We start from the raw sequence: 25,989 nt of genomic DNA on the forward strand, positions 1-25,989 counted from the left end.
ATCCCTTCCCGCTCCCCCCACCCCACAACAGTCCCCAGAGTGTGATGTTCCCCTTCCTGTGTCCATGTGTTCTCATTGTTCAATTCCCACCTATGAGTGAGAATACGCGGTGTTTGGTTTTTTGTTCTTGCGATAGTTTACTGAGAATGATGATTTCCAATTTCATCCATGTCCCTACAAAGGACATGAACTCATCATTTTTTATGGCTGCATAGTATTCCATGGTGTATATGTGCCACATTTTCTTAATCCAGTCTATCATTGTTGGACATTTGGGTCGGTTCCAAGTCTTTGCTATTGTGAATAATGCCGCAATAAACATACGTGTGCATGTGTGTTTATAGCAGCATGATTTATAGTCCTTTGGGTATATACCCAGTAATGGGATGGCTGGGTCAAATGGTATTTCTAGTTCTAGATCCCTGAGGAATCGCCACACTGACTTTCACAATGGTTGAACTAGTTTACAGTCCCACCAACAGTGTAAAAGTGTTCCTATTTCTCCACATCCTCTCCAGCACCTGTTGTTTCCTGACTTTTTAATGATCGCCATTTTAACTGGTGTGAGATGGTATCTCATTGTGGTTTTGATTTGCATTTCTCTGATGGCCAGTGATGATGAGCATTTTTTCATGTGTTTTCTGGCTGCATAAATGTCTTCTTTTGAGAAGTGTCTGTTCATGTCCTTCGCCCACTTTTTGATGGGGTTGTTTGTTTTTTTCTTGTAAATTTGTTGGAGTTCATTGTAGATTCTGGATATTAGCCCTTTGTCAGATGAGTAGGTTGCGAAAATTTTCTCCCATTTTGTAGGTTGCCTGTTCACTCTGATGGTAGTTTCTTTTGCTGTGCAGAAGCTCTTTAGTTTAATTAGATCCCATTTGTCAATTTTGGCTGTGGTTGCCATTGCTTTTGGTGTTTTAGACATGAAGTCCTTGCCCATGCCTATGTCCTGAATGGTAATGCCTAGGTTTTCTTCTAGGGTTTTTATGGTTTTAGGTCTAACGTTTAAGTCTTTAATCCATCTTGAATTGATTTTTGTATAAGGTGTAAGGAAGGGATCCAGTTTCAGCTTTCTACATAGGGCTAGCCAGTTTTCCCAGCACCATTTATTAAATAGGGAATCCTTTCCCCATTGCTTGTTTTTCTCAGGTTTGTCAAAGATCAGATAGTTGTAGATATGCGGCATTATTTCTGAGGGCTCTGTTCTGTTCCATTGATCTATATCTCTGTTTTGGTACCAGTACCATGCTGTTTTGGTTACTGTAGCCTTGTAGTATAGTTTGAAGTCAGGTAGTGTGATGCCTCCAGCTTTGTTCTTTTGGCTGAGGATTGACTTGGCGATGCGGGCTCTTTTTTGGTTCCATATGAACTTTAAAGTAGTTTTTTCCAATTCTGTGAAGAAAGTCATTGGTAGCTTGATGGGGATGGCATTGAATCTGTAAATTACCTTGGGCAGTATGGCCATTTTCACGATATTGATTCTTCCTACACATGAGCATGGAATGATCTTCCATTTATTTGTGTCCTCTTTTATTTCCTTGAGCAGTGGTTTGTAGTTCTCGTTGAAGAGGTCCTTCACATCCCTTGTAAGTTGGATTCCTAGGTATTTTATTCTCTTTGAAGCAACTGTGAATGGGAGTTCTCTCATGATTTGGCTCTCTGTTTGTCTGTTGTTGGTGTATAAGAATGCTTGTGATTTTTGCACATTGATTTTGTATCCTGAGACTTTGCTGAAGTTGCCTATCAGCTTAAGGAGATTTTGGGCTGAGACAATGGGGTTTTCTAGATATACAGTCATGTCGTCTGCAAACAGGGACAATTTGACTTCCTCTTTTCCTAATTGAATACCCTTTATTTCCTTCTCCTGCCTAATTGCCCTGGCCAGAACTTCCAACACTATGTTGAATAGGAGTGGTGAGAGAGGACATCCCTGTCTTGTGCCAGTTTTCAAAGGGAATGCTTCCAGTTTTTGCCCATTCGTTATGATATTGGCTGTGGGTTTGTCATAGATAGCTCTTATTATTTTGAGATACGTCCCATCAATACCTAATTTATTGAGAGTTTTTAGCATGAAGCATTGTTGAATTTTGTCAAAGGCCTGTTCGGCATCTATTGAGATAATCATGTGGTTTTTGTCTTTGGTTCTGTTTATATGCTGGATTACATTTATTGATTTGCATATATTGAACCAGCTTTGCATCCCAGGGAAGAAGCCCACTTGATCATGGTGGATAAGCTTTTTGATGTGCTGCTGGATTTGGTTTGCCAGTATTTTATTGAGGAATTTTGCATCTATGTTCATCAAGGATATTGGTCTAAAATTCTCTTTTTTTGGTTGTGTCTCTGCCCGGCTTTGGTATCAGGATGCTGCTGGCCTCATAAAATGAGTTAGGGAGGATTCCCTCTTTTTCTATTGATTGGAATAGTTTCAGAAGGAATGGTACCAGTTCCTCCTTGTACCTCTGATAGAATTCGGCTGTGAATCCATCTGGTCCTGGACTCTTTTTGGTTGGTAAGCTATTGATTATTGCCACAATTTCAGCTCCTGTTATTGGTCTATTCAGAGATTCAACTTCTTCCTGGTTTAGTCTTGGGAGAGTGTATGTGTCGAGGAATTTATCCATTTCTTCTAGATTTTCTAGTGTATTTGCGTAGAGTTGTTTGTAGTATTCTCTGATGGTAGTTTGTATTTCTGTGGGATTGGTGGTGATATCCCCTTTATCATTTTTTATTGCATCTATTTGATTCTTCTCTCTTTTTTTCTTTATTAGTCTTGCTAGCAGTCTATCAATTTTGTTGATCCTTTCAAAAAACCAGCTCCTGGATTCATTAATTTTTGAAGGGTTTTTTGTGTCTCTATTTACTTCAGTTGTGTTCTGATTTTAGTTATTTCTTGCCTTCTGCTAGCTTTTGAATATGTTTGCTCTTGCTTTTCTAGTTCTTTTAATTGTGATGTTAGGGTGTCAATTTTGGATCTTTCCTGCTTTCTCTTGTGGGCATTTAGTGCTATAAATTTCCCTCTACATACTGCTTTGAATGCATCCCAGAGATTCTGGTATGTTGTGTCTTTGTTCTCATTGGTTTCAAAGAACATCTTTTTTTCTGCCTTCATTTTGTTATGTACCCAGTAGTCATTCAGGAGCAGGTTGTTCAGTTTCCATGTAGTTGAGCGGTTTTGAGTGAGATTCTTAATCCTGAGTTCTAGTTTGATTGCACTGTGGTCTGAGAGACAGTTTGTTATAATTTCTGCTGCTTTACATTTGCTGAGGAGAGCTTTACTTCCAAGTATGTGGTCAATTTTGGAATAGGTATGGTGTGGTGCTGAAAAAATGTATATTCTGTTGATTTGGGGTGGAGAGTTCTGTAGATGTCTATTAGGTCCACTTGGTGCAGAGCTGAGTTCAATTCCTGGGTATCCTTATTGACTTTCTGTCTCGTTGATCTGTCTAATGTTGACAGTGGGGTGTTAAAGTCTCCCATTATTAATGTGTGGGAGTCTAAGTCTCTTTGTAGGTCACTCAGGACTTGCTTTATGAATCTGGGTGCTCCTGTATTGGGTGCATATATATTTAGGATAGTTAGCTCTTCTTGTTGAATTGATCCCTTTACCATTATGTAATGGCCTTCTTTGTCTCTTTTGATCTTTGTTGGTTTAAAGTCTGTTTTATCAGGGACTAGGATTGCAACACCTGCCTTTTTTTGTTTTCCATTTGCTTGGTAGATCTTCCTCCATCCTTTTATTTTGAGCCTATGTGTGTCTCTGCACGTGAGATGGGTTTCCTGAATACAGCACACTGATGGGTCTTGACTCTTTATCCAATTTGCCAGTCTGTGTCTTTTAATTGGAGCATTTAGTCCATTTACATTTAAAGTTAATATTGTTATGTGTGAATTTGATCCTGTCATTATGATGTTGGCTGGTGATTTTGCTCATTAGTTGATGCAGTTTCTTCCTAGCCTCGATGGTCTTTACATTTTGGCATGATTTTGCAGTGGCTGGTACCAGTTGTTCCTTTCCATGTTTAGCGCTTCCTTCAGGAGCTCTTTTAGGGCAGGCCTGGTGGTGACAAAATCTCTCAGCATTTGCTTGTCTGTAAAGTATTTGATTTCTCCTTCATTTATGAAGCTTAGTTTGGCTGGATATGAAATTCTGGGTTGAAAATTCTTTTCTTTAAGAATGTTGAATATTGGCCCCCACTCTCTTCTGGCTTGTAGAGTTTCTGCCGAGAGATCCGCCATTAGTCTGATGGGCTTCCCTTTGAGGGTAACCCGACCTTTCTCTCTGGCTGCCCTTAACATTTTTTCCTTCATTTCAACTTTGGTGAATCTGACAATTGTGTGTCTTCGAGTTACTCTTCTCAAGGAGTATCTTTGCGGCATTCTCTGTATTTCCTGAATCTGAGTGTTGGCCTGCCTTGCTAGATTGGGGAAGTTCTCCTGGATAATATCCTGCAGAGTGTTTTCCACCTTGGTTCCATTCTCCCCGTCTCTTTCAGGTATACCAATCAGACGTAGATTTGGTCTTTTCACATAGTCCCATATTTCTTGGAGGCTTTGCTCGTTTCTTTTTATTCTTTTTTCTCTAAACTTCCCTTCTCGATTCATTTCATTCATTTCATCTTCCATCGCTGATACCCTTTCTTCCATTTGATCACATCGGCTCCGGAGGCTTCTGCATTCTTCAAGTAGTTCTCGAGCCTTGGTTTTCAGCTCCATCAGCTCCTTTAAGCACTTCTCTGTATTGGTTATTCTAGTTATACATTCTTCTAAATTTTTTTCAAAGTTTTCAACTTCTTTGCCTTTGGTTTGAATGTCCTCCCGTAGCTCGGAGTAATTTGATCGTCTGAAGCCTTCTTCTCTCAGCTCGTCAAAGTCATTCTCCGTCCAACTTTGTTCCGTTGCTGGTGAGGAACTGCGTTCCTTTGGAGGAGGAGAGGCGCTCTGCTTTTTAGAGTTTCCAGTTTTTCTGCTCTGTTTTTTCCCCATCTTTGTGGTTTTATCTACTTTTGGTCTTTGATGATGGTGATGTACAGATGGGTTTTTGGTGTGGATGTCCTTTCTGTTTGTTAGTTTTCCTTCTAACAGACAGGATGCTCAGCTGCAGGTCTGTTGGAGTACCTGGCCATGTGAGGTGTCAGTCTGCCCCTGCTCGGGGGTGCCTCCTAGTTAGGCTGCTCGGGGGTCAGGGGTCAGGGGTCAGGGACCCACTTGAGGAGGCAGTCTGCCCGTTCTCAGATCTCCAGCTGCATGCTGGGAGAACCACTGCTCTCTTCAAAGCTGCACCCACTATCTGGCACTCCCTAGTGAGATGAACCTGGTACCTCAGATGGAAATGCAGATATCACCCATCTTCTGCGTCACTCACGCTGGGAGCTGTAGACCTGAACTGTTCCTATTCAGCCATCTTGGCTCCTTCCCCCAGGGAAGAAAACTTGATGAGGAAACTTACCATGATGGTGCCAAGATTGACATCTCTAGCCCAGGGTGGCCCAGGGTGGCTTCTTCCTATCTCATTGTTTGTTTAGGTGAAGAAGAGATTTAATTTTTTAGTGAGTTATTTGATGTAGTATAGTTTCTGCTACATAGTAACAACTATTTTTTATTACGCATATGAAAGGTAGTCGTGTTAGGCAGAAAAAAATGGCTCCCCAAAGATGTCCACATCCTGATCCACAGAACCTGTGAATATATTAGGTTATTTGGCAAAGGGAAACTAAGTTTGCTAACCACCTGCCCTTATATAGTGAAAATACCCTGGATTATCCAGGTCCAATGTGATGGTTAATTTTATGTGCCAACTTGCCTGAGCCATGATGCCCATATATTTAGTCAAACATTATTCTGGATGTTTCTGTGAGGGTGATTTTGGATGTGATTTACATTTAAATTGGTGGGCTTTGAGTAAAGCAGCCCACCTTCCATAATGTGGGTAGGCCTCAACCAGTCAGTTGAAGGCCTGATTAGAATAAAAGACTTGACTTCTCCCCAGCAAGAAGGAAGTTTCCAGCAGACTGCCTTCAGATCTGGACTACAACTATCTTCTGATTCTCCAGCCTGTTGGCCTTCCCCATGAGATTTTAGACTCACTAAGCCTCCACAATCGCACAAGCCCATTTCTTAAAGTGAATTTCTTCCTATACATGTACACACATCCTATTGGTTGCATTTCTCTGGATAATGCTGACTAATACAGATTTTCGTACCAAGTGTAGTTCTAGTGGAGTATAATCCTAAGGATGAGTTTTCTGAATCGGTTCTAGGGTTTCTGGAATTGGCTCTATAATCTGATTAAACACACTAATAACTCTATTTCCAGTTGTAGAAAGAAGATTACTAGTTCATGACATGATGTGGCAATAGAAATAGGCAAAATATCACCACTGGAAACTCCTAATCAACCACTTATAAGAGGCAAGGATCTGTTGACATGTTTACGATACCTTTGAATATTTTTGTCAAACGAACAAGTATAATGAGCTTTGCTGCTTGCCGCTAGTACCCCTGAAGACAGTGGAGAAAGAAAAAGATGAGCTCAAGGATTTGAATTTCCAGTTCAGGTCATTTCCATTCCATAAATGACCTGAAAGTTACATGCCTACCCTGAAAAGAGAGTGTTATTTCCTGTAGCCACAAGGCTGGAATTGCTGAAAACCAAACCCAGGATTTCCTCTTGCAAGTGACTAACTTACAATGCAAATAGAATTCCCAGGCTTGCAGGGGGTGTCAACTAGTGAGGACATTGATTGGGAAGGAATGTGATCCTGAAAGTTGAAATAGGGATATTTAGCAAGACTCTGATAAAGATGGGGACGTTCTGAGTCTTCTTCACCATTAAAAATAGTAGATCCACTCCCAGTAGAAGCAACCTCTCCACCCCTATCTGAGATTAACCCTGAAAGTTGCCTTAAAAGATGCTAATTCCCCTCAAGATCCACCCCACCATCCTTCTTTGATACTAGACTCAGCACCCTAAAGATGAGGTACAAAGTGTGATCCATGAGGAAGTATGCTACACTCCAAAAGAAGTACTTGAGTTTTCTAATTTATACAGATTGAAATACAGAGAATATGTCTGAGAATGGATACTAAAGGTGGTGAATAGTGATGGAAAGAAAATAAAGTTGGACCAAACCAAATTTGTTGACATAGACCCATTGTGCAAAGATTCTGCATTTAATGTGGCAGCTTGGGGAGTTAAAAGGAACTCTAATTGGCTGGGCATGGTGGCCCATCTCTGTCATCCCAGCAGTCTGGGAGGACAAGGTGGGTAGATTTCTTGAGCTCAGAAGTTCAAGACCAGCTTGGACAACACGTTGAAAACCTGTCTCTACAGAAAATACCAAAATTAGCCAGGTGTGGTGGCACATGTCTGTAGCCCCAGCTACTCAGGAGGTGCAGGTAGGAGGATCACTTGGGTCCAGAAGGCCAAGGCTGCAATGAGCCATGAACCTGCCACCGCATTCTAGCCTGAGTGGCAGAGCAAGATGCTGTCTCAAATTTTACAAAAAGAAAAAGGTAGAAAGAAAGAAAGAGTTCTGTTTGGTTTGTTGGCTTAAACATGGGCCCAAAACATGACCAAGAGTGAATGAGTTAGAAATGCCAGATCTGCTTTGTTTACTGTAGATGAAAGGATTTAAAGGCATAGGGAGACTGGAATGTTAACAGTGAATTTGTCTAAGATCTACTCAAAACTATGTCCCCCTCAAAACTCATATGTTGAAGTTCTAATCCTTGTTACCTAAGAATGTGACATTTGGAGACAGGGTCTTTAACAGAGACAAGTTCAAATGGGGTCATTAGGATGGGCCCTAATACAATATACTGGTGTCTCTATGACAAGGGGAAATTTGGACACAGAGACATATATAGAGGGATGATCATGTGAAGAGACACAGGGAAAAGACAGCAATCTACAAGCCAAGGAGAGAGGCCTGGAACAGATCCTTCCCTCACAGCCCTCAGAAAAGAACAACCCTACTAGCAACTTGATTTCAGACTTCTAGCCTCTAGAACTGTTGCTTAAGACACTCAATTTGTGGTACTTTGTTACAGCTGTCTTAGCCAATTAATATACTAAGCATTTAACAGATGCTACCTTTATTATCATTTTTATCAATGCTGCATGTTGAAGAGTAGAGTCATGGAACTCTAGTGAAATGTATCAAAAGCTTTTAGATGTGACACAAAAGCAATTATCCACCCACTGGCATTGTGAAACTTAACTTTAAATGCACTATTTGCATGTTCAGGAATCAGCAAGAATAGGTTTTTGCTAACTAATTTTTTGGTTGTTCACTTATTTTGTTGTCTCCTATATATTCTTACTTTGGGGTTTGCTACCTTCTTCCTCCCTGGTTTGTAATTTACCCCCATTTAAACCAATTGCCTTTTTCCTAAATCACACATATAGAAACACAGTTCGCTAATGCTGTCATCTATGTGTTCCTTTAGACAAAGCTTACCATAATGAACATTTCCATTTATTCAGGAACAACATGTGTACAATCACGTTCAGGACTTCCTTCAGATTTTTCTCATTCCCCATTGATTCTTCAGCATTTAATATACAATAAAGATACACACTAAGAATTTGTACTTCAGGAAGGTCTTTTGGATTATCTTCCTAAGAACTTTTCCTCTTCATAACTAGTTGAAGTTTTAGAAGGACAGAGATCTGTTCATTAAATAGAATTATGTCTCCCATCAGCTTCAATCTAGACAGCCTGTCAACTCAGCTATTTTCTTACATCCCTCTCAAATCTATCTCACAAAGATATTTTGCTGGCAAAGTTTTCATTTATTTTATTTATTTATTTATTTTGTTTTTTGAGACAGGGTCTCACTCTGTCACCTAGGCAGGAGTATAACGGCACAATCTTGGCTCACTGCAACCTCTGGCTGAAGTGATCCTCCCACCCCAGCCTCCCGAGTAGCTAGGGCCACAGGTGTGCACTAACACACCCAGCTAATTTTTGTATTTTTGGTAGAGACGGGGTTTCACCATGTTTCCAAGGTTGGTCTCAAACTCCTGAGCTCAAGCCATCCACCTGCCTCGGCCTCCCAAAGTGCTCTGATTGCAGGCATAAGCCGCTGCACTCAGCCCACAGTTTTCATTTCTATCTGCTCCCTTGTTAAAAAATAAATGACTATATCCCCATTTTCTTGAAAGTGTGTACACAGAGCACCATTAGAAGCCAAAACCTAGGCTTTATTACTCCACATATTATAAAGATACTCTAAAATAAAGTATTTCTAAGAACCCTGATTCCTTCCCTCCAATAAATATTGAAAAAGATGGTATCGATAACCACAAAATTCATGCAAATATAAATATGAGATATCCCAAAGTCTTAGTGAATTTCTAAGCTTTAATAAACTCAGAAGTATAAATACTACACTTACAAAGACATCATTTTAAATGTTACATCATTTTAAATATTAATTACTTATATTGCTTTCAAACATGTTTTTCAATTTAAAGAATAAATTTTTAAGTTTTTGTTTCAGTCACTGCGGGTGGTTCACTTTGATGAAAATTTTAAAAATTAAATTTAAAAGTACTATTCAAAACACAATTCTAAAAAGGGCAGAAAGAAATCAAAATTAGTTTTCAAATGATGTCTCTCTTTCACTTGTAAATATTTATGCTTCTGGAGTTACTAATGCCTTAAAATATCACTAAGACATTTGGAACACCATGTTATTAATACACTTTTTTCTTAAACATGTCCTTTTCTCCAATATAATCATATAATTTTTATTTTCATGGTAGGAAAATGTTTATTTTTCAGTTTGAATCTAGCAAACCTCAGCAGACCGATTTTGTAGCTGCCAATTAAAACATTGTTCAACAACTGCCCTGAATAATAGGCCAATCTTTGTCTCTTTCTACCATGCATTAAAGTGTATTTCTATTGGAATTCCTCTAACATATTCATCACCAAACTGTAATGCTGAAACTTCATTCAATGTATTTACATTTTATATGTTATCATTGCTGAGGGCCCAGCTTAAAATCCAGGTAAAGAAATAAGAAGTGAGGTTTCTTCCATAAGGAATATTGCAAAACAGAAATTAAAGGCACAATTTTACTTCTCAATCTGTGTAATCTAACTTGGTTTACAATTAAAGAATGATTTTAATTGTCAAACTTTTAAATTTTATTAAAATGTTTGGAGTAATGCACGGAATGAATTCCAGACCTACATAAATACACTGGCAGCTGTTGGTAATTTGCATTTTTATCAGTTTTGAAAGAGCACAATGTACTTCCTGCATCTTATTTTCAGAATTTGCATTTTTATCATCTTTGGCTATCCACTACATAACATGGAGTACTTGAGTATCTCATTCTTTGAATTTTCATTTTTGATTGTAAATCAGATGATGTCTGGCAATTTTTTCTCATTTTTCTCTCTCTCAACCTCCAGGTTTACTTGCTCCCATTTCTTCTTGGCTCTAATAATAAAATACACAAAATATTTCAATTATTTTCTTGTTTAGCGCACTGATATTTTGTTCTTCTTTTGCTAATTACTTGCCGTAAATCTAAAGGCAAAGAAAAACTAATCTTACTGTTTTAACTTATAAATTTTCAAAATGCCATTCAAATAGTCCACTTCTTTTTGATTCTTACTATGTTTTGCATTTGGATGGAGGGGTGGAAAAGAATGGAAGTGACACCGTATATAAGGCTGTGCTATGGGACATGCAGAATGAACAGAACGAAGGCTCCATCATATGGAGACAAGCACCTTCACTCGCACCAGCAATATCCCTATTACAAAGGACTTGTGGCCTCAAGAGAAGGTCACCAATGAGAATGACATCTCCAGTTGCCTTCAGCTTCTGCCCCTAATTCCCACAGACATGTGCATTCTCCTCTATTATTGCATTATCCCCACAGTATCCAACAACATTTTTCCAAAAGGCTTCTCCTGTCCGCCAGTGCCCTAGAGGAACAGACTCATGGCAGCTTGTGTTTTCTGCCTCCTTTCCTCCAGTAGTCCATCTGTCCACTGGGAAATGTTGAAAATGTTGCTCTGTGACCTAGCAGGAATATGTGCAGGAAGAAACATAAGCTAATCTTTCTCTTCCTATTCTGGTGATGACAACAATTGGGAAGGATAAGCATTGTGAGGTTATGCATTTCCCAATCAAAAGAAAATAAGAAAACAAACTATTTCATTATAAAATCTAATTTCTTAAGTCCTCATTCTTCCTCTGCATGTAAATTTAGTCCAATTCAGTGATTTATTAGGCATCTCACTTTTACATTTCAGTCACATTCAGATTTAAAATTTTTTCTCAGGGTGTTCTCTGTACCCCACCTCCCTGCTACTGATCCTAATTTCTGGGAATTGGAACAGGAGAGAATGGTTGTGGTTGTGAGAGAGCTAGTAAGAGAATATAATTTCAACAGTCCTGACATGGATGGGTCCTGTGCTGGGCTCTTATTTTTCTTTAATGGTGGCCTAGATACCCAGTCTAAGGTTTCTTGAAATTTAATGTGTATCTTAATCACCTGGGAATGTTGTTAAAATGCAGATTCTGATTCAGCAGGTCTGAGATGGAGATCCTACATTTTAAAAAAGCTCCCAGGTGATGTCATTGCAGCTAGTCCTCAGACCATAGTTTAGTTAACAAGGATTTGGTCAGTGGATGCTGGCTCAGTTTCTCCTTGGCTCTCTGACAGAAGCAATCTGTCAAGATTACAGCTAAATACTGACCCACCCCAATATGGCTCAACAAAGTCCTCTTTCTGGTGCTTATCCTTTTAATCCCAGCCAGAAGACTTCATTTGGACCCACTGTTCCTCTCTCCCATGAACCTTCTCCCACTTGAGGCTCACAGGAATGTGAGATGCCCTCCCACGCAACCTTAGCACTTGAAAAATCTCAAGAAGCTGTCTCCAGTCCTCTCATATTAGACATGGCTTGTCTTCCCCCTAACCCAGATAACAGCAAAAAATTTCTCTTCAAAGCTTTTCTCCCTAGATTGCATCTGGGAACTGCAACACAGCCATACCTCTATGCATTGATTCAGTGCTACACATAGATGGTACATGTATTATGTGCTGAAGTGACCCTTCCTTTCCTAAATGTCTTCTGTAATTCATATTTAACTATCTGGTATGGGAGGTGAGAAGGCTACTGAAAGACAAGAGAAGTCATTAAGACAGGGATAAGGGAGGAGCACATCCCTTAATACTCCAAATATCACTTCACCCATAGGAGGATCATAGGAGAAAAGGCTATAGAGCTCAACAATTTCAAGTTTCACCCAGGATTTTCATCAACTCTTCACCTCTTTCCCCACCCCCCAAATTCAGTGCTATCACATGTGAAAATTCACACAAAGTTAAAAGAAAGTATGATCAATTAAATAGCACTGCAGCAGGGTTCTCTTGCAGCACAGTATGATTTGGGAAAGATGGGGGGAAAATGGAAAACAGTTATCCCCAGTATATAAACATATAACACATATCTGTGCCTTGAGTCACAGTTGTAGTCAGTAGGAGTTCCCTAACTGGAAATTTTTCTGAAATGTTCAGTTGTCTGAGAAGTAATCGAAAGCATTTTATCCCCTGTAGATTTCCAAACCTACTGAACCAGCCCAGGAGAGTCTGGGAAAAGACACCAAGCTGTTTAGCAAAAGAAAAACCTGAGGTCAGGGATACAACAAACCTCTACCCTGAGGAGGTTCCAAGGAACCCCAGTCTCCCAGAGCGCAGAGTTCCACAAGGAGGAGACCACAGTCCCTCAGAAACTACTGGCTGAGAAATTTCATCTTGGATGTCCTGTCAGCCTATACCAGCCAATATTTGTCTATGGTAGATATAGTAAAGCTTTAATGTCTTGTGTTAAAATACAGTTTTACACATTTGCTTCGCAGCACAGCAAAAAAAAAAAAAAATGCATCTTAACGTATTACATGATTGCTGCAATTACTGTTTATTGTCCAGGAAAGAACTGTATAAAAACGTTTTTGGGTAACACATAAAAATAGGCAAAGAGGAACACAGTAAAACAGTAAAATTACATTACTAGTAGACAAGATATCTACTAAACTCCAAGTAATTAAGTGTGCATGTATATCTTGAAATTTTTATTTATCTTCATGTTTTCTAAAACACTCCTTGCACTTGAAAACTTATTCATTTTCAGAATTGCATGATACATTAAAACCACTTATAAATAGTTACCTGGATATATCTTTTCACTTTTTGAATATGTTTTTGAAAAAGGAATTCGTTTTCGCCAGGCTGAATCATTATATGATGTTGACGTATATTTGTCTGAGGGAAAAAAATCCAGAATTAAATATTTTATAACTTTAAAATCATATTCCAAGGGTGTTTCAAAGTTATAAACATCTCAGGGGTGAAGCTATTCTCTAAGTAATTCATTTTACCATTTCAAAGCTAAGGCATCAGGGATACAAGTGAGTTTATTAAGACCATTTAAGTTATAAGTGAGCATGTTTTTTTTTGTTTTTTTTATTATTATTATACTTTAAGTTTTAGGGTACATGTGCACAATGTGCAGGTTAGTTACATATGTATACATGTGCCATGCTGGTGTGCTGCACCCATTAACTCGTCATTTAGCATTGGGATATCTCCTAATGCTATCCCTCCCCCTTCCCCCACCCCACAACAGTCCCCAGAGTGTGGTGTTCCCCTTCCTGTGTCCATGTGTTCTCATTGTTCAATTCCCATCTATGAGTGAGAACATGCGGTGTTTGGTTTTTTGTCCTTGCGATAGTTTACTGAGAATGATGATTTCCAGTTTCATCCATGTCCCTACAAAGGACATGAACTCATCATTTTTTATGGCTGCATAGTATTCCATGGTGTATATGTGCCACATTTTCTTAATCCAGTCTATCATTGTTGGACATTTGGGTCGGTTCCAAGTCTTTGCTATTGTGAATAGTGCCACAATAAACATACGTGTGCATGTGTCTTTATAACAGCATGATTTATAGTCCTTTGGTATATACCCAGTAATGGGATGGCTGGGTCAAATGGTATTTCTAGTTCTAGATCCCTGAGGAATCGCCACACTGACTTCCACAATGGTTGAACTAGTTTACAGTCCCACCAACAGTGTAAAAGTGTTCCTATTTCTCCACATCCTCTCCAGCACCTGTTGTTTCCTGACTTTTTAATGATTGCCATTCTAACTGGTGTGAGATGGTATCTCGTTGTGGTTTTGATTTGCATTTCTCTGATGGCCAGTGATGATGAGCATTTTTTCATGTGTCTTTTGGATGCATAAATGTCTTCTTTTGAGAAGTGTCTGTTCATATACTTTGCCCACTTTTTGATGGGGTTGTTTGTTTGTTTCTTGTAAATTTGTTGGAGTTCACTGTAGATTCTGGATATTAGCCCTTTGTCAGATGAGTAGGTTGCATGGTGACAGATTCTTAATTGGCTGTTCAATGCTTCAAATAAGGGTAAGCTACAGGAGGGTATGATATCTAAATGTAATAAAAATTTTGACTGCATCACTTCATCATAGTTTTGCATAAATTCTGCTAATGTTTATTAGAGCTTTTATTTAAAAACTGTGAAACTATGAGGTACAGCCCAAGTCCCATGTCCTTCCATGAAGTGACTTCCATGTTCGCAGTAATTGGTGTGATGCAATACCGACCTCACTGCCCCAGATAGCCGAAGCATTTATATCCTCACCTGGTCCTTAAATACTTATTTTTCTCTGACATATCTACATTTCTGCTACTGTCTAACAATGTTATATTTGTGTTTTCAAATATTACTATGCAGCTGTGTTCTCAAAGCATGATCCGTAATACCAATAATTTGCATTTCTCTTGTGTTGACATTTGCACTAATGGTGCAAAAGCAATATAGAGTATGAATTCTGGCACCTTCACACAAACCTAGACATTGGCAGCTCTTCTAGTACTCATTGTATTCTTCACAGACATCCAGTTGCAGTAAAATGATAATAACAATAACAATATCAGTAAATAAGATAATAGTAATAAATAAAATTAAAAGCACGTTTCACCTAAGAATATCCTTATTTACAAATACACATCCATATATCATTCTATTTTAAAGCAAAAAGAAAAATAATTTAAATAAGCTAATGTATATTTAAATTGTAAAAGAAATATATATACCTACTGTGTACTCATAATTTTAAAAAATTTATTAAATTATAAAAGAAACTTAGAAAGATATAGTCTTATGTTTCCATAAGTTCAAAATATTCAGAACTCCACTAACTAAACCGTGAACTTAGAAAAATACAAACATGAAATCATATAGAATTGAGCAGCATTTTGTTAAGTTTAGAGAACTGAAACCCAACTTCAAAAGAACAAAATCCATCTGAGACATAGGAAGAAAAAGAGATAAAGAGATTCGGTTCTCTTCTCCCCTGTAACCTTGTACTTCCTGACATATACTATGACTTTGCCTATTACATGATGAAATGATTTAGAAGCAATCTATCCATGGTGAGAGAGATGAGAGGTTGTCAAAAATATGGCAGTTAATCCCCAAACCAACCCTTTCAGAAAATAATCATGAAGGCCTACAGAAAAGTCAAGGCACTAGCCTGACAGTGAAAATTGAACAATGCAGTTAGTGGAACAAGAAAATGTCAGCCATTCAAAAACAGTCCTCCTGAGTGACATGAAGCTGTCCTGGAGGAACAAAGTGCAGTGCTCTGAGAAAAAAACTCTAGGGAGGTGCAATCTGAAGTCATCTGCACACAACATGAGTTTTCTTCCATATCCTTTAAATCATGTGCAGGACTGCACATGGAAGAAATCCTCTCACTAGTTTCTATGGTGGTGATGGCCAGGGTAAAGAAGAGGGGAGTAAGTAGTAGTGAAGTTTAGCCAAGCTGTCAAGAAATTCCATGGGAATGCAAACCACAGACAAGAGTAAACCACATCAACAAAGGACCTCACCTGGACTGAGGTTGGGTTTGGGTTCCCTGTTAGCATGGACTTTATTGTAGGACCCATGCGTGGGCCTGCTGCGGGAAGGTGCATTCAACGCGACAGTCCTGACAGCATCTCTTTGAACGTGGATATAGGATGCATTCTCCGCATTTCGATTTTTATTATTGCGGTGATAACTCATTTTATTTTGGGGTCTTGGGGCCTGTACTGCTGTAAAGAAAGGTGGGAGGGAGTGAGGAATAAAACAGGCTGGTTTCACACCCATAAATAACATATTGCACTGCAAATACTTCATAGCATAATGGAAGCCAATAGAAGCCAAAATAATTAAGTTTAGAGAAGTTGAGTTGACCCCTAAAGTAACATTTACGTCACATGACAGTAATTTGTTTTTCAGGTAGAAGATATTTGATATTTAATCTCTTTTAAAATTACAATTTAGAAATATCAAATATATAGACACCTTACCTCTCTGCATTCCAGAGTTAGGAAAGTTCTGTGGTTCATCATAAATCCATTTTCTTTTCTTCACACCTTTAAAATGAGGCTTCTTCACTGGCTGGACATCATTCACTTAGAAAAGATACAAATTTTACAATTTTTTAAGAGATGCTTTCATCTCTGAAATTACTGTAGGTGATAATTACATATCTGTGCATTCACATGTCAAGCAAGAGGAAAAAATAAATGCACCATCCTAACACTTTACTTTTTAGAACAAAAGGTGATTTATTTTTAAGTGCCAAAAAAATCTATCTTGGAAATAGATTGATGAAATAACTTTCAATAAGTAGCTTTCCTCAAAGAAAAACACTTTCCTCCAAAGGAATGTGTGGATTCTTTTAAAGGAACATAAAATTGCATTCAAAATATAATTATAAATCTCATTATAATGCTATTGTTAAATAGTTTTAGAACTCTTATTTTCAACATGAATTTTTTGTACTTTTTTAGCCAAAACTACTACTTCTTAAGAAGTTGGATTAATGTAAAATACTTTCAGTGAACTTTACCTTATTATTTTAAGCTCTTAAATTGGGTGTACAGATAGTTTGGTCAAGATTGAGCAATCAGAATTTATAAGTTCTAAGAATATTAAATTTTTCACTTTGTATATTTTTACATCAATATTTTATATGTATTCTCAATTTTTCAGGAATTTCTATGGTACATATCTCCAGAGAATCTTAAAACAATTTTGTAGAGGGGGCATTCTGTTACTTCACTGTGCAAGGCTCCTGAAAATTCACAAGTGACCGCTGCACAGAGAAACTGAACATCAAGTGTACAGTGTAGACTACATTAGTTCTCTACAGTAAACTAATTAATCTTTCTGTGCCCTAACTTTCAGCTTTAGCTTTAAGCCCTCAATAAAGCTCTGATTCACTGTCTCCTCCTCAAACATCATGCCCCTGATCCACTCCCAAGCTCCCAGTGCAAGGATTTGGAATCCATATTTTTAACAAGTGCCACTGAACTGGGCTTCTTGAGGGCAAATCACAAGTATTCCCATCAGTGCCAGGCTGCGATCCAAGAATATTATAGGGGTTCAATAAATAAAACAAGGAACAGAAGGAAGAAGGGAAGGGATCAGGAAGATTCACAAGTCTTAACTGTATCAAGAGAAGTAGCTCACTGAACCGAATGTCAGTGAGAAGCCAAACTAATAAAAAATAATCCAAAACATAATAAAAAGCTGCCAATGTATTATTCCACTATGGGCGCAATTTAAAAGGTTATGCTAGTGAATCTTCCAAAAAGGTAGTGTATTATTCATTTTAATACCAAAATTAAACTAGTGGGAGAGCATATAATTTACTAGGACCTACATCACAGCTCATTGTCAGAGTTAGTTAGTAGAGGATATTGTGTCTTTAATTCTTAGTTCTGAATAATTTTTAAACCTTTTTTCTTTCTTTTTTAAAATTCTATTTTAAATAAGCAAAACAAATCCATGGTAAGACAAATATATCTGAGGCCAAAAAGTGATAGAGCTAATGTCTCACTTGAAGAGGGGTCCTCTCTGCACTTCATACTGATATTCTCAGTAGCATTTAATACATGCGTTGTAGGTACTAGTCGGGTAGTTAGGGAATGCTTTGGATGAGGACTGTCCTTGTTATCTTTTAAAGCAAATTAAGAAAATAAAATGTCAATATTAGTTTTTAAAAAAAGCATTTCAGTTGTTATTTCACTATTCAAACATTACATAATGGGAACACCTCTTTAAAATAATATATATATTTATGAATTGAGAGAAAAGCATCATTAACATTCCCTAGTTGCCACGTGGATTTCAAAATGTCATGAGTAACAAAACAAAACTCGGAAACTATAGCCATTATTTTCAATATGTAAATAAAAAATCGTGGCAGTATTTTTACTATCTCCATACAAAAGATTTAAAAGGTTTTACATTTTTACATTGAATGGTCCCATTTAAATTGGGGTTCTGAAAATATTTCAAATGTAACAACTTTAACTTGCTATATGCTTTGGAGCAGGACTCCTTAGTAGGGCTTTCCACAATGATGAAAATGTTCTAAATCTGTGCTGTTCAATATGGCAGCCACTAGCCTCCTGTGACTATTGAGCGCATGGAATGTGGCTAGTGCCAATGAAACACTGAATTTTTTATTTTATTCAGCTTTAACTTAAATTCAAAGAGTCATAAATAGCTGGTGGCTACCATATTAGTATAGCTTTAAGAGTTTCTTTGATGGACTGGGGAAAACCTTTCCATCTCTGACTGAGAAAATGAGAGAAAGATTTACAATTTTCCACGAAAATGATTTGATCACAGGCAACCTTTCCTATGCTTGAGATATTTAATGGTAGAGATGGTAGATAAAATGGGTTTACATTTTGATTGAAAGTATGTGAAGCCCCCTAATTACAGGACAGCTGTACTTTTAGTCTGCGACTGAGAGGCACTCAGCAGAGAGATAACAGCTGGTGGATTTTAAGTACAGTTAAGGGCAGTGTAAAACTATAGAGGATGTATTTTATCATATCTCTTGATTATTCACAGACTAGTGTTAGCAACAATTATAAAATACAAAAGTCTTTTTGAGATTAAACTCTTCACAATGTTCACAAACAACGTTTTCTAACAAAATTCATTTATACTGATATTATAAATTAAAGGACTTGGTATTGCCATTTAAGAGAACCAGTAACTTTAGAACTAGCAATACTAGAAATTATACAGTCCAACAGGCTATTTTTCAGGTAAGAAAACAAAAAAATGGTCATACAGTTAGGGGCAGAGCCAGGACTGGAACCTTAGAGCTCTTGACTCCTATTCAGTGTATATTTTGATTTATTACCATTCCTCTATTGGTTTTTATAACAAGCAAGCTTGTCTTTAACTTGCCTAGCCAAATTACAAATGAATCAAAATTATATAATATTCATTACCTTTAGTATTTGAACATTTTGATATGGTGATTTCTTTCTCTTCAGTTAAAGCTTCACTTTCATCGACTCCAAGAAATATGACCCTCTGTGGAACATAACAGTCACCTCCTATGACAAAACCTTACTGTCAGTGGCAACAATGGCAGAAAGTGATACAAACTAGCTTTCAATACAGGAACATTTTCTACAATACCCCTTTTGTTCACCTTTCTTTGGACACTTCTCAGTGATACCATATCCATCTCCATACATTTATATGCTTAGATTAATACATGAGTATTAATATATATGTATATGAATATGCAGTATGTAAACTTACATATAGATAATTGCAAGAAAATTCAGAGTCAACAAAATTTTCCTTAATGTATAATAATCTTTAGTCCCACCCTTTAGAGATACTCAGAGTAAATGTAATTTATCTTCCATATAACATCTTCAGATATATTAAAGCAGTTTCCATATTTCCCCAAGAACTTCTATTTTCCAGGATAAATATCCATAGTTGCTTTAAATGTTACATACAAAATTCCAAAATTCTTCACCATACATTACCTTTTCTTAACATATTTGTTTCAAATAACCTTATTTTAAAATGACACCCAAATGTGAACTAAGCTGTGGAGAAATCAGCAGAACTAGTAAAATAATACTTGCCATTCATGGAGTAATTTTCTAGGAATCTGACCCTTTACTGAGTACTTTAAATCACATTTAACTATCTTTCTATACTGCCTCTAATAATCCAATGTGACTTTACCATCGCTATTTGGTAGTGAAAACACACGCCTAAATTGTTGTAAAACATTGTGGCCAAAAAAACTCACTCTATTTTCCCCTCAAAAACGCCATCATACTGGGTTTTTCCCAAATTAAAGAAAAGCCACTATTTAATGTTTTGTACCTAAATGTAAGAATGTATGTTTATCATTGCTTGAAGTTACCCTGTAAGATTTGGCTCATTGTTCCAACAGATTAACCTCCAGTTAACTGTAAATTTTATAAACATGTCTACATTCACCCAGTCATTCAATGCATTTGAACATATCATCCTTTATTCTACAAGTATTTACTGAGTGCACATAATGTGCCAGGCATTCTACTACAGAGATTTATCTATAGTGATTGATTATACACAGTTCCTAGCCTCAAGGAGCTTACACAAAACCAGTGATAAAAATGTCAAAAAGATTTTTGGTTTCTACCATGACCAAAATGGCTTTTATTAGAATAACTTTCATCCCAAAAACAACTATAAAATACCAAAACAAACTGATTGGAAAACAACCCAATGCATGTGACTGCAATGCCTGAGAGCAATGGAAGGACACAAAGTCAATTGTATGTTCACATTCACCCTGGCTTTTTTCCCTGAAGGAGTTACGCTCCACACTTACTACGGATTTTTCCCTGAAAGCATGTCTAATTCATCATGTAAGGAAATAACAAGCAGAAAGCGACACCAAGGAGGTGAAAAAGAAAGAGCCGAAAGTCTGGGACTATCTAATTGGTTTGAAATTGAGGGGGAAATGAAAAAAGAAGAACAACAAAGAAGTTCCTCTGAAATAGGCATAAAACTCCCTTTAAACTGTTATCTGACTCCCATACTTTTCAGGTACAGTGTGGAACCCTAGGAAATAAGCAAAAACTGCATCTGGGAGGCTAAAAACTGGTCAGAGATTTCAGCATCTACATACTGCTTGGGAGGTAAAATTTGGCATTCGAGCTTTGCCAGAGTAGAGGTATCTTGGTGAACATCCCATGTCTCAGTTGATAACCCAGTAAAGCAATGCTTTAGGGGTAAGGGTCTTGTCCGAGGAATAAGGACTATACCTTCAAAGAAAGGAAAAATAATGTATCATCTACGGCATCATCCCTAATAAAGCCCAAAGCTAGTCCTTCACAGAATCAAGGTGGTCTGCTGATAGTCTAGCTGCCTGCCAGGAGAAAAGTTTCTCTGTGGAGAAATAACATCATTCATACACTATGTAATTTTTATCCATATTGTTCAGCATCAAATAAAATATTAGAAGGCATAGTAAGACAGGACAATTGAGCAAAAACCTGAGGAAAATGAAAGATATCCAAGCGTAATCAAACAGGAAGTTGCAAAAAATAACAAGAACATTATCAAAATAGAGAACTGATGGAGAATTTAAGTAGAAAATCAATAAGAAGGTCAAATAGAAATTTAGAATTTAAAATACGGATTAAAGAGCAGAGAGGAAGAGAATTAGTGAACAGGACAGTAGGTTGTCAGAAAGTATCCAGATTTATCTAGAGAAGTCAATAAGAAAAAAATATTTTAAATGGGCTAGAGACTTAAAAATGCACCAGACAAAAGAGAAAGTCAAAATGGCCAATAAGTTTATGAAAAGGTGCTAACATTATGAGTCATCAAGGAAATACAAATTAAAACTACAATGATGTACCACTAGCCACTCACCAGAAAGGCTAAAGTTAAAGGACTGAAAATACTAATTGTGGGTAAGGATACAGAGCAAGCTAATCTCAAAGAAAAGGTGTGCATATGGCCTTTAGAAGACATGTACAAGAATGTTAATAATAGTCCCAAACTGGAAATATTGTCTGTCAAATCCCAATATCAATACTCATGGTGCTTTCATGCATTGTTTTTATGTTTGTTTGTTGTTTGCAAACGTACGCAGAGTGGTGAAAATTTTGAGTTGCTGGACCCGCACATTCCTAGCTGAGGTCTAACAATGGCAGTGCTCAGCATTCTCATTTCAGTTCATACAGAGATGATCAGAGAATGGCTGGAGACAGGAGAGGGCAGCACAGCATGGTGGAAGAAGCTCTGGCTCTGGGGAGAGGTGGAAGGGGTTTGAGTCCCAGTTCTGAGGCTTGTTAGTGAGGCAACCTCAAGAGAGTCACTTAAGACTTCTGAACTTTGTTTTCTCTTTTGTAAAATAAGGAAAACAGAATATACCAGGATGAGTAATTTCTACGATTTAAGATTATAATCTGTGTGAGATGTAGGTATATGTGTGTGTGTACATAGTTCCCCGAGGAGCAATGGTTCAGTGTTTGCTAATTCAGTGTTCATGTCAGCTTTATATATAGCAACCAGGAATAACAAGAATCAATTGTGTGTGTGTTTGTGTGTGTATCAACTGTGTGTATATATATACTATATACATAGAGAGAGAAATGCCCACGTTTGTTTTCATATATATGTACACATATACAGTATATGTCTTACATGTAGATATGTGTGTATATATGTGGTATATATCTATCTATCTATAGAGATTTACTGCTACAATCAACATCATGGATCAGTCTAATACAAAGAGCATTAAGTAAAAGAATCCAAACTAAGAGTTCAAACTGTATATTTCCACTTATATAAAGGTCAAAAAATGCAAAATTAGCCTATAGTAATAGCGACCAGAGTACTGGTTACCACTGGGAGAAGACTATTGACTTGGAGAGAAAGAGCCATCTGGAGTACCATAAATATGGTTATATTGATACATACACAAGTAAAATTTTAACAAGCTATTCACTTCAGATCTGTGAACTTTATTAAAGTGCAATAACACATTAAAATAATATTAAGACAAGACAATGCCTCAAGTATTTTTCTTGAAATGAATACTAATTCATTAATTATAATTTCAGTTTTGATCATCTTCATTTCAAAGATGTCTTATGAATGCAGGAGCCTAAATATGTTTAGATATATCTATCATATACACATACCCAGAAGATTATTTTATCTAGTGACACAGAGAACATTATGATGCCTGGAAAATCAATAAGCTTGACTATACCAGAACTTAGTATACCAGATAATGGAATTTTTTAAATATTCTTTTAGTATGGTTTTTCAACTAGTTCATTACTCTAACAATATTATTAATATTAGGCTAATGACAGTATAATGACATTCTCACATTTTCTAACTCCCAACAAAGTAGGTAATATATTATTAATGTTACAACGTGAAGGAAAGTTTATTTTTATATGAAACCATTAGTCTATCAATGGTTAAAAATAACCTTTTATTAACCAAAAAAGCTATCTGATTTAATGATATTTCAACAAACTGTTCGATTAGAACTGCTCGGGTTAAGTGGATCCCACTTATATAGGTTAAATAGACAGTGGGAACTCCGTTAGGAGAGACTGCCAGTGTTTCTAATTTGTAGCTAAAACTTATTGCTTCAAGGCAACCAAACAATTACAGCTAGACTAAAACAATTACAGCTAGACTAAAACAGCTAGACTAAAACTGCTGCAGATGTAAGAAAGGAGAAAAAATAATCAAATTACCTTAGCACCAAAAAAAAAGGGCAGTGGGGGGCACACAGAAGAAAATGGCTGACACCAGGACAGCAGAAAGTATCACCAATATGCCTAAGAGATACTGGTACTTACTGATACCTGCTCTCAACCTCCTTCCTACTCTTCACACACATTCTTCCCATCAGCCACACCTTTCAACCTCCCCACAAAATCTCTATATATTTTCAAAACAAACGCTTGGAATTTTCAGTCAAAGGACAGATTTTCCAACATGTTTATGCTAAAAAGCAGTTCCAAAATATTTAAGCTATAATACACAGTTAGAATGTGATGACAAATGATATATATTTGAATATAGCTCCTTTAAAGTAGACTTTAAGTCCACTGGGCTCGGTGGCTCGTGCCTGTAATCCCAGCACTTTGGGAGGCCAAGGCGGGCAAATCACCTGAGGTAAGGAGTTTGAGGCCAGCCTGACCAACATGGTGAAACCCCGTCTCTACTAAAAATACAAAAATTAGCCGGGTGTGGTGGCACGCACCTGTAGTGCCAGCTACTTAGGAGGCTGAGGCAGGAGAATAGCTTGAACTCGGGAGATGGAGGTTGCAGTGAGCCGAGATCGCACCACTGCACTCCAGCCTAGGTGACAAAGTGAGACTTCCATCTCATAAATAAATAAATAAATAAATAAATAAGTAGATAAATAAAAAGTAGACTTAATCAAATGATTTATTAAGTGCCTCCTTCATTTATAGCTCTGTTATAGTATATTACAGCACATACATAACACCTGAATTCATTATAGTCTGGAGTTGAGCCTACACACAGACACACACACACACACATACATGCACACACACACACAGGTTTCTCATTAAAATATGAAAAATGGAATGTCTTATACACTGAACACAAATTCGCACAAGGTATTTGGCAGAGATTTTGGTCTCTGAAAGCAACTGATTTTGTGATATACCTCCAAACTCTTGTGTTAAACATGACATGGACAAAAAAAGAAAATTAGTTGTAAAAGATAAAATTCAGACTCATTTATTATGTGGTGATATATTCAGGGTCAATCAGTAATAAATTAACTCACCTCCATTTTCAAAAGCAGCAATGTCAGTCTTTGGTTTCCCATGCAATGATGTTTTTATTTCACCTTGCCTTTCATATTGGCTAAGTTTTGTCGGAACTGTAAGACTATCTCCTAGAAATAAGAAGAAAAAAAAGTCACCCCAGAAATTATTAGATGCTTAAATAAGAAATTTATGATAGAATGCATGATGAAAGTAAAAAAGCTTTAAAGTTAATGCAAGTATTGTTTGCACAGTGATCTGATAAACAATAAATTAATAAATACATGAGTTTTAAATTCTGTGTCAACAAAGAAGTAAGCAAGTATATTCTCCTATTTGGATTATTTATTCAATGGCAATTAAAAATTGTAAGCAATCTAACACTATTGTATATACATAATATATCTAGTTTGATATGTTTCTCATATAAGGAATTTTGTAATATTACTTTTGATTTTATCTGTTCACCATGAACAATCAGATAAAAAGTATTAGAGTCACTATTGACTACAAAATGCTAACTACACTGATAATTAAATAATACTCTCAGCTTTCCCCATGCATTTCTGGATAATTTTCTTCTAAAATAAACTATTAAAAGCAAAATAAAAGAGACATGACAACCTAATGCAATGTGTGATTCTGGATTGGATCCTAGACTAGGGGAAAAAATTTATTTTACTATAAAGCACATTAATGGCATAATTGGTAAAATTTGTGGGAAAAGAAGGTTATAAATGATATTCTATCAGTGGTTATTTTCTGATTTTTATATTTATACTACAGTTAATGTAAAAGCAAAGAGGTATCATGTCTGTAACTTATTCTCTCGAACAATTCAGAAGATTATAATAACAATGTGTATATTTAGAGAGAGTGAAAATTCAAATGTGGTAAAATGCTAACGTTTGAAGGAAATCTAGGTGAAGGGTATATAGGAATTAACCAAAACTATTTAAAAATAAACAGCCTTTTAAAGCATAATATAAAGCAAAAGTACATATAATTGTCTTTATAATCTGCCCTTTTTAATGTTCATTGCTAACTTGTTTTCTTCTTTTGTTTTTGTTTCCTTTTGTTTTTTCTTCTCTGAGCAGTGCTGGCCTGCAATCTGTCCTTCCCTATATGGTTCCCAAGGTTTGCGGGCTCTTCTCCGTCTGATGGTGTGTTGCTGCCACCTATCGCCACGTTTGAATAGTTCGCTACAAAACAGACTTGCACAACATATTGCAGATGTTCATCCACAGTAAATCAGATTCTCCAAAGGTAAGCGCC

The 25,989-nt window shown here is 37.0% G+C and overlaps 1 protein-coding gene across 9 annotated transcripts in view, besides 1 other annotated feature; it reads right to left on the minus strand.

Annotated features, from left to right (window-relative positions):
- Positions 1-10,136: 10,136 nt before the first annotated feature.
- C12orf50 (chromosome 12 open reading frame 50) overlaps positions 10,137-25,989 on the minus strand; it is a 50,198-nt gene continuing 34,345 nt past the window's right edge. For 4 of the 9 annotated variants that reach the window (XM_024448865.2, XM_024448866.2, NM_152589.3 and 1 more), the window contains exons 7-13: positions 24,735-24,845; positions 19,366-19,473; positions 17,952-18,068; positions 16,414-16,518; positions 15,952-16,155; positions 13,205-13,297; positions 10,137-10,458 (exon numbers count right to left, since the gene is read on the minus strand). In XM_024448865.2, coding sequence (XP_024304633.2) covers positions 10,433-10,458; positions 13,205-13,297; positions 15,952-16,155; positions 16,414-16,518; positions 17,952-18,068; positions 19,366-19,473; positions 24,735-24,845 — 764 coding nt within the window. In that variant the 3' untranslated portion in view covers positions 10,137-10,432. Of the gene's footprint in view, positions 10,459-13,204; positions 13,298-13,492; positions 16,156-16,413; positions 16,519-17,951; positions 18,069-19,365; positions 19,474-24,734; positions 24,846-25,989 lie in introns of those variants that run through there. The other 5 variants (XM_017018888.3, NM_001363616.2, XM_017018886.3 and 2 more) reach the window with 4 other exon arrangements.
- Positions 25,928-25,987: an enhancer, noted in NCBI's record as "active region_6698". NCBI's record gives its function as "activates an Ori minimal core promoter by ATAC-STARR-seq in GM12878 lymphoblastoid cells {active_cell/tissue: GM12878}" and the evidence as "EXISTENCE:reporter gene assay evidence [ECO:0000049][PMID:35858748]".

The sequence above is a fragment of the Homo sapiens genome, chromosome 12 (assembly GCF_000001405.40).
Source record: "Homo sapiens chromosome 12, GRCh38.p14 Primary Assembly".
In the NCBI taxonomy this organism is placed as follows: Eukaryota; Metazoa; Chordata; class Mammalia; order Primates; family Hominidae; genus Homo; species Homo sapiens.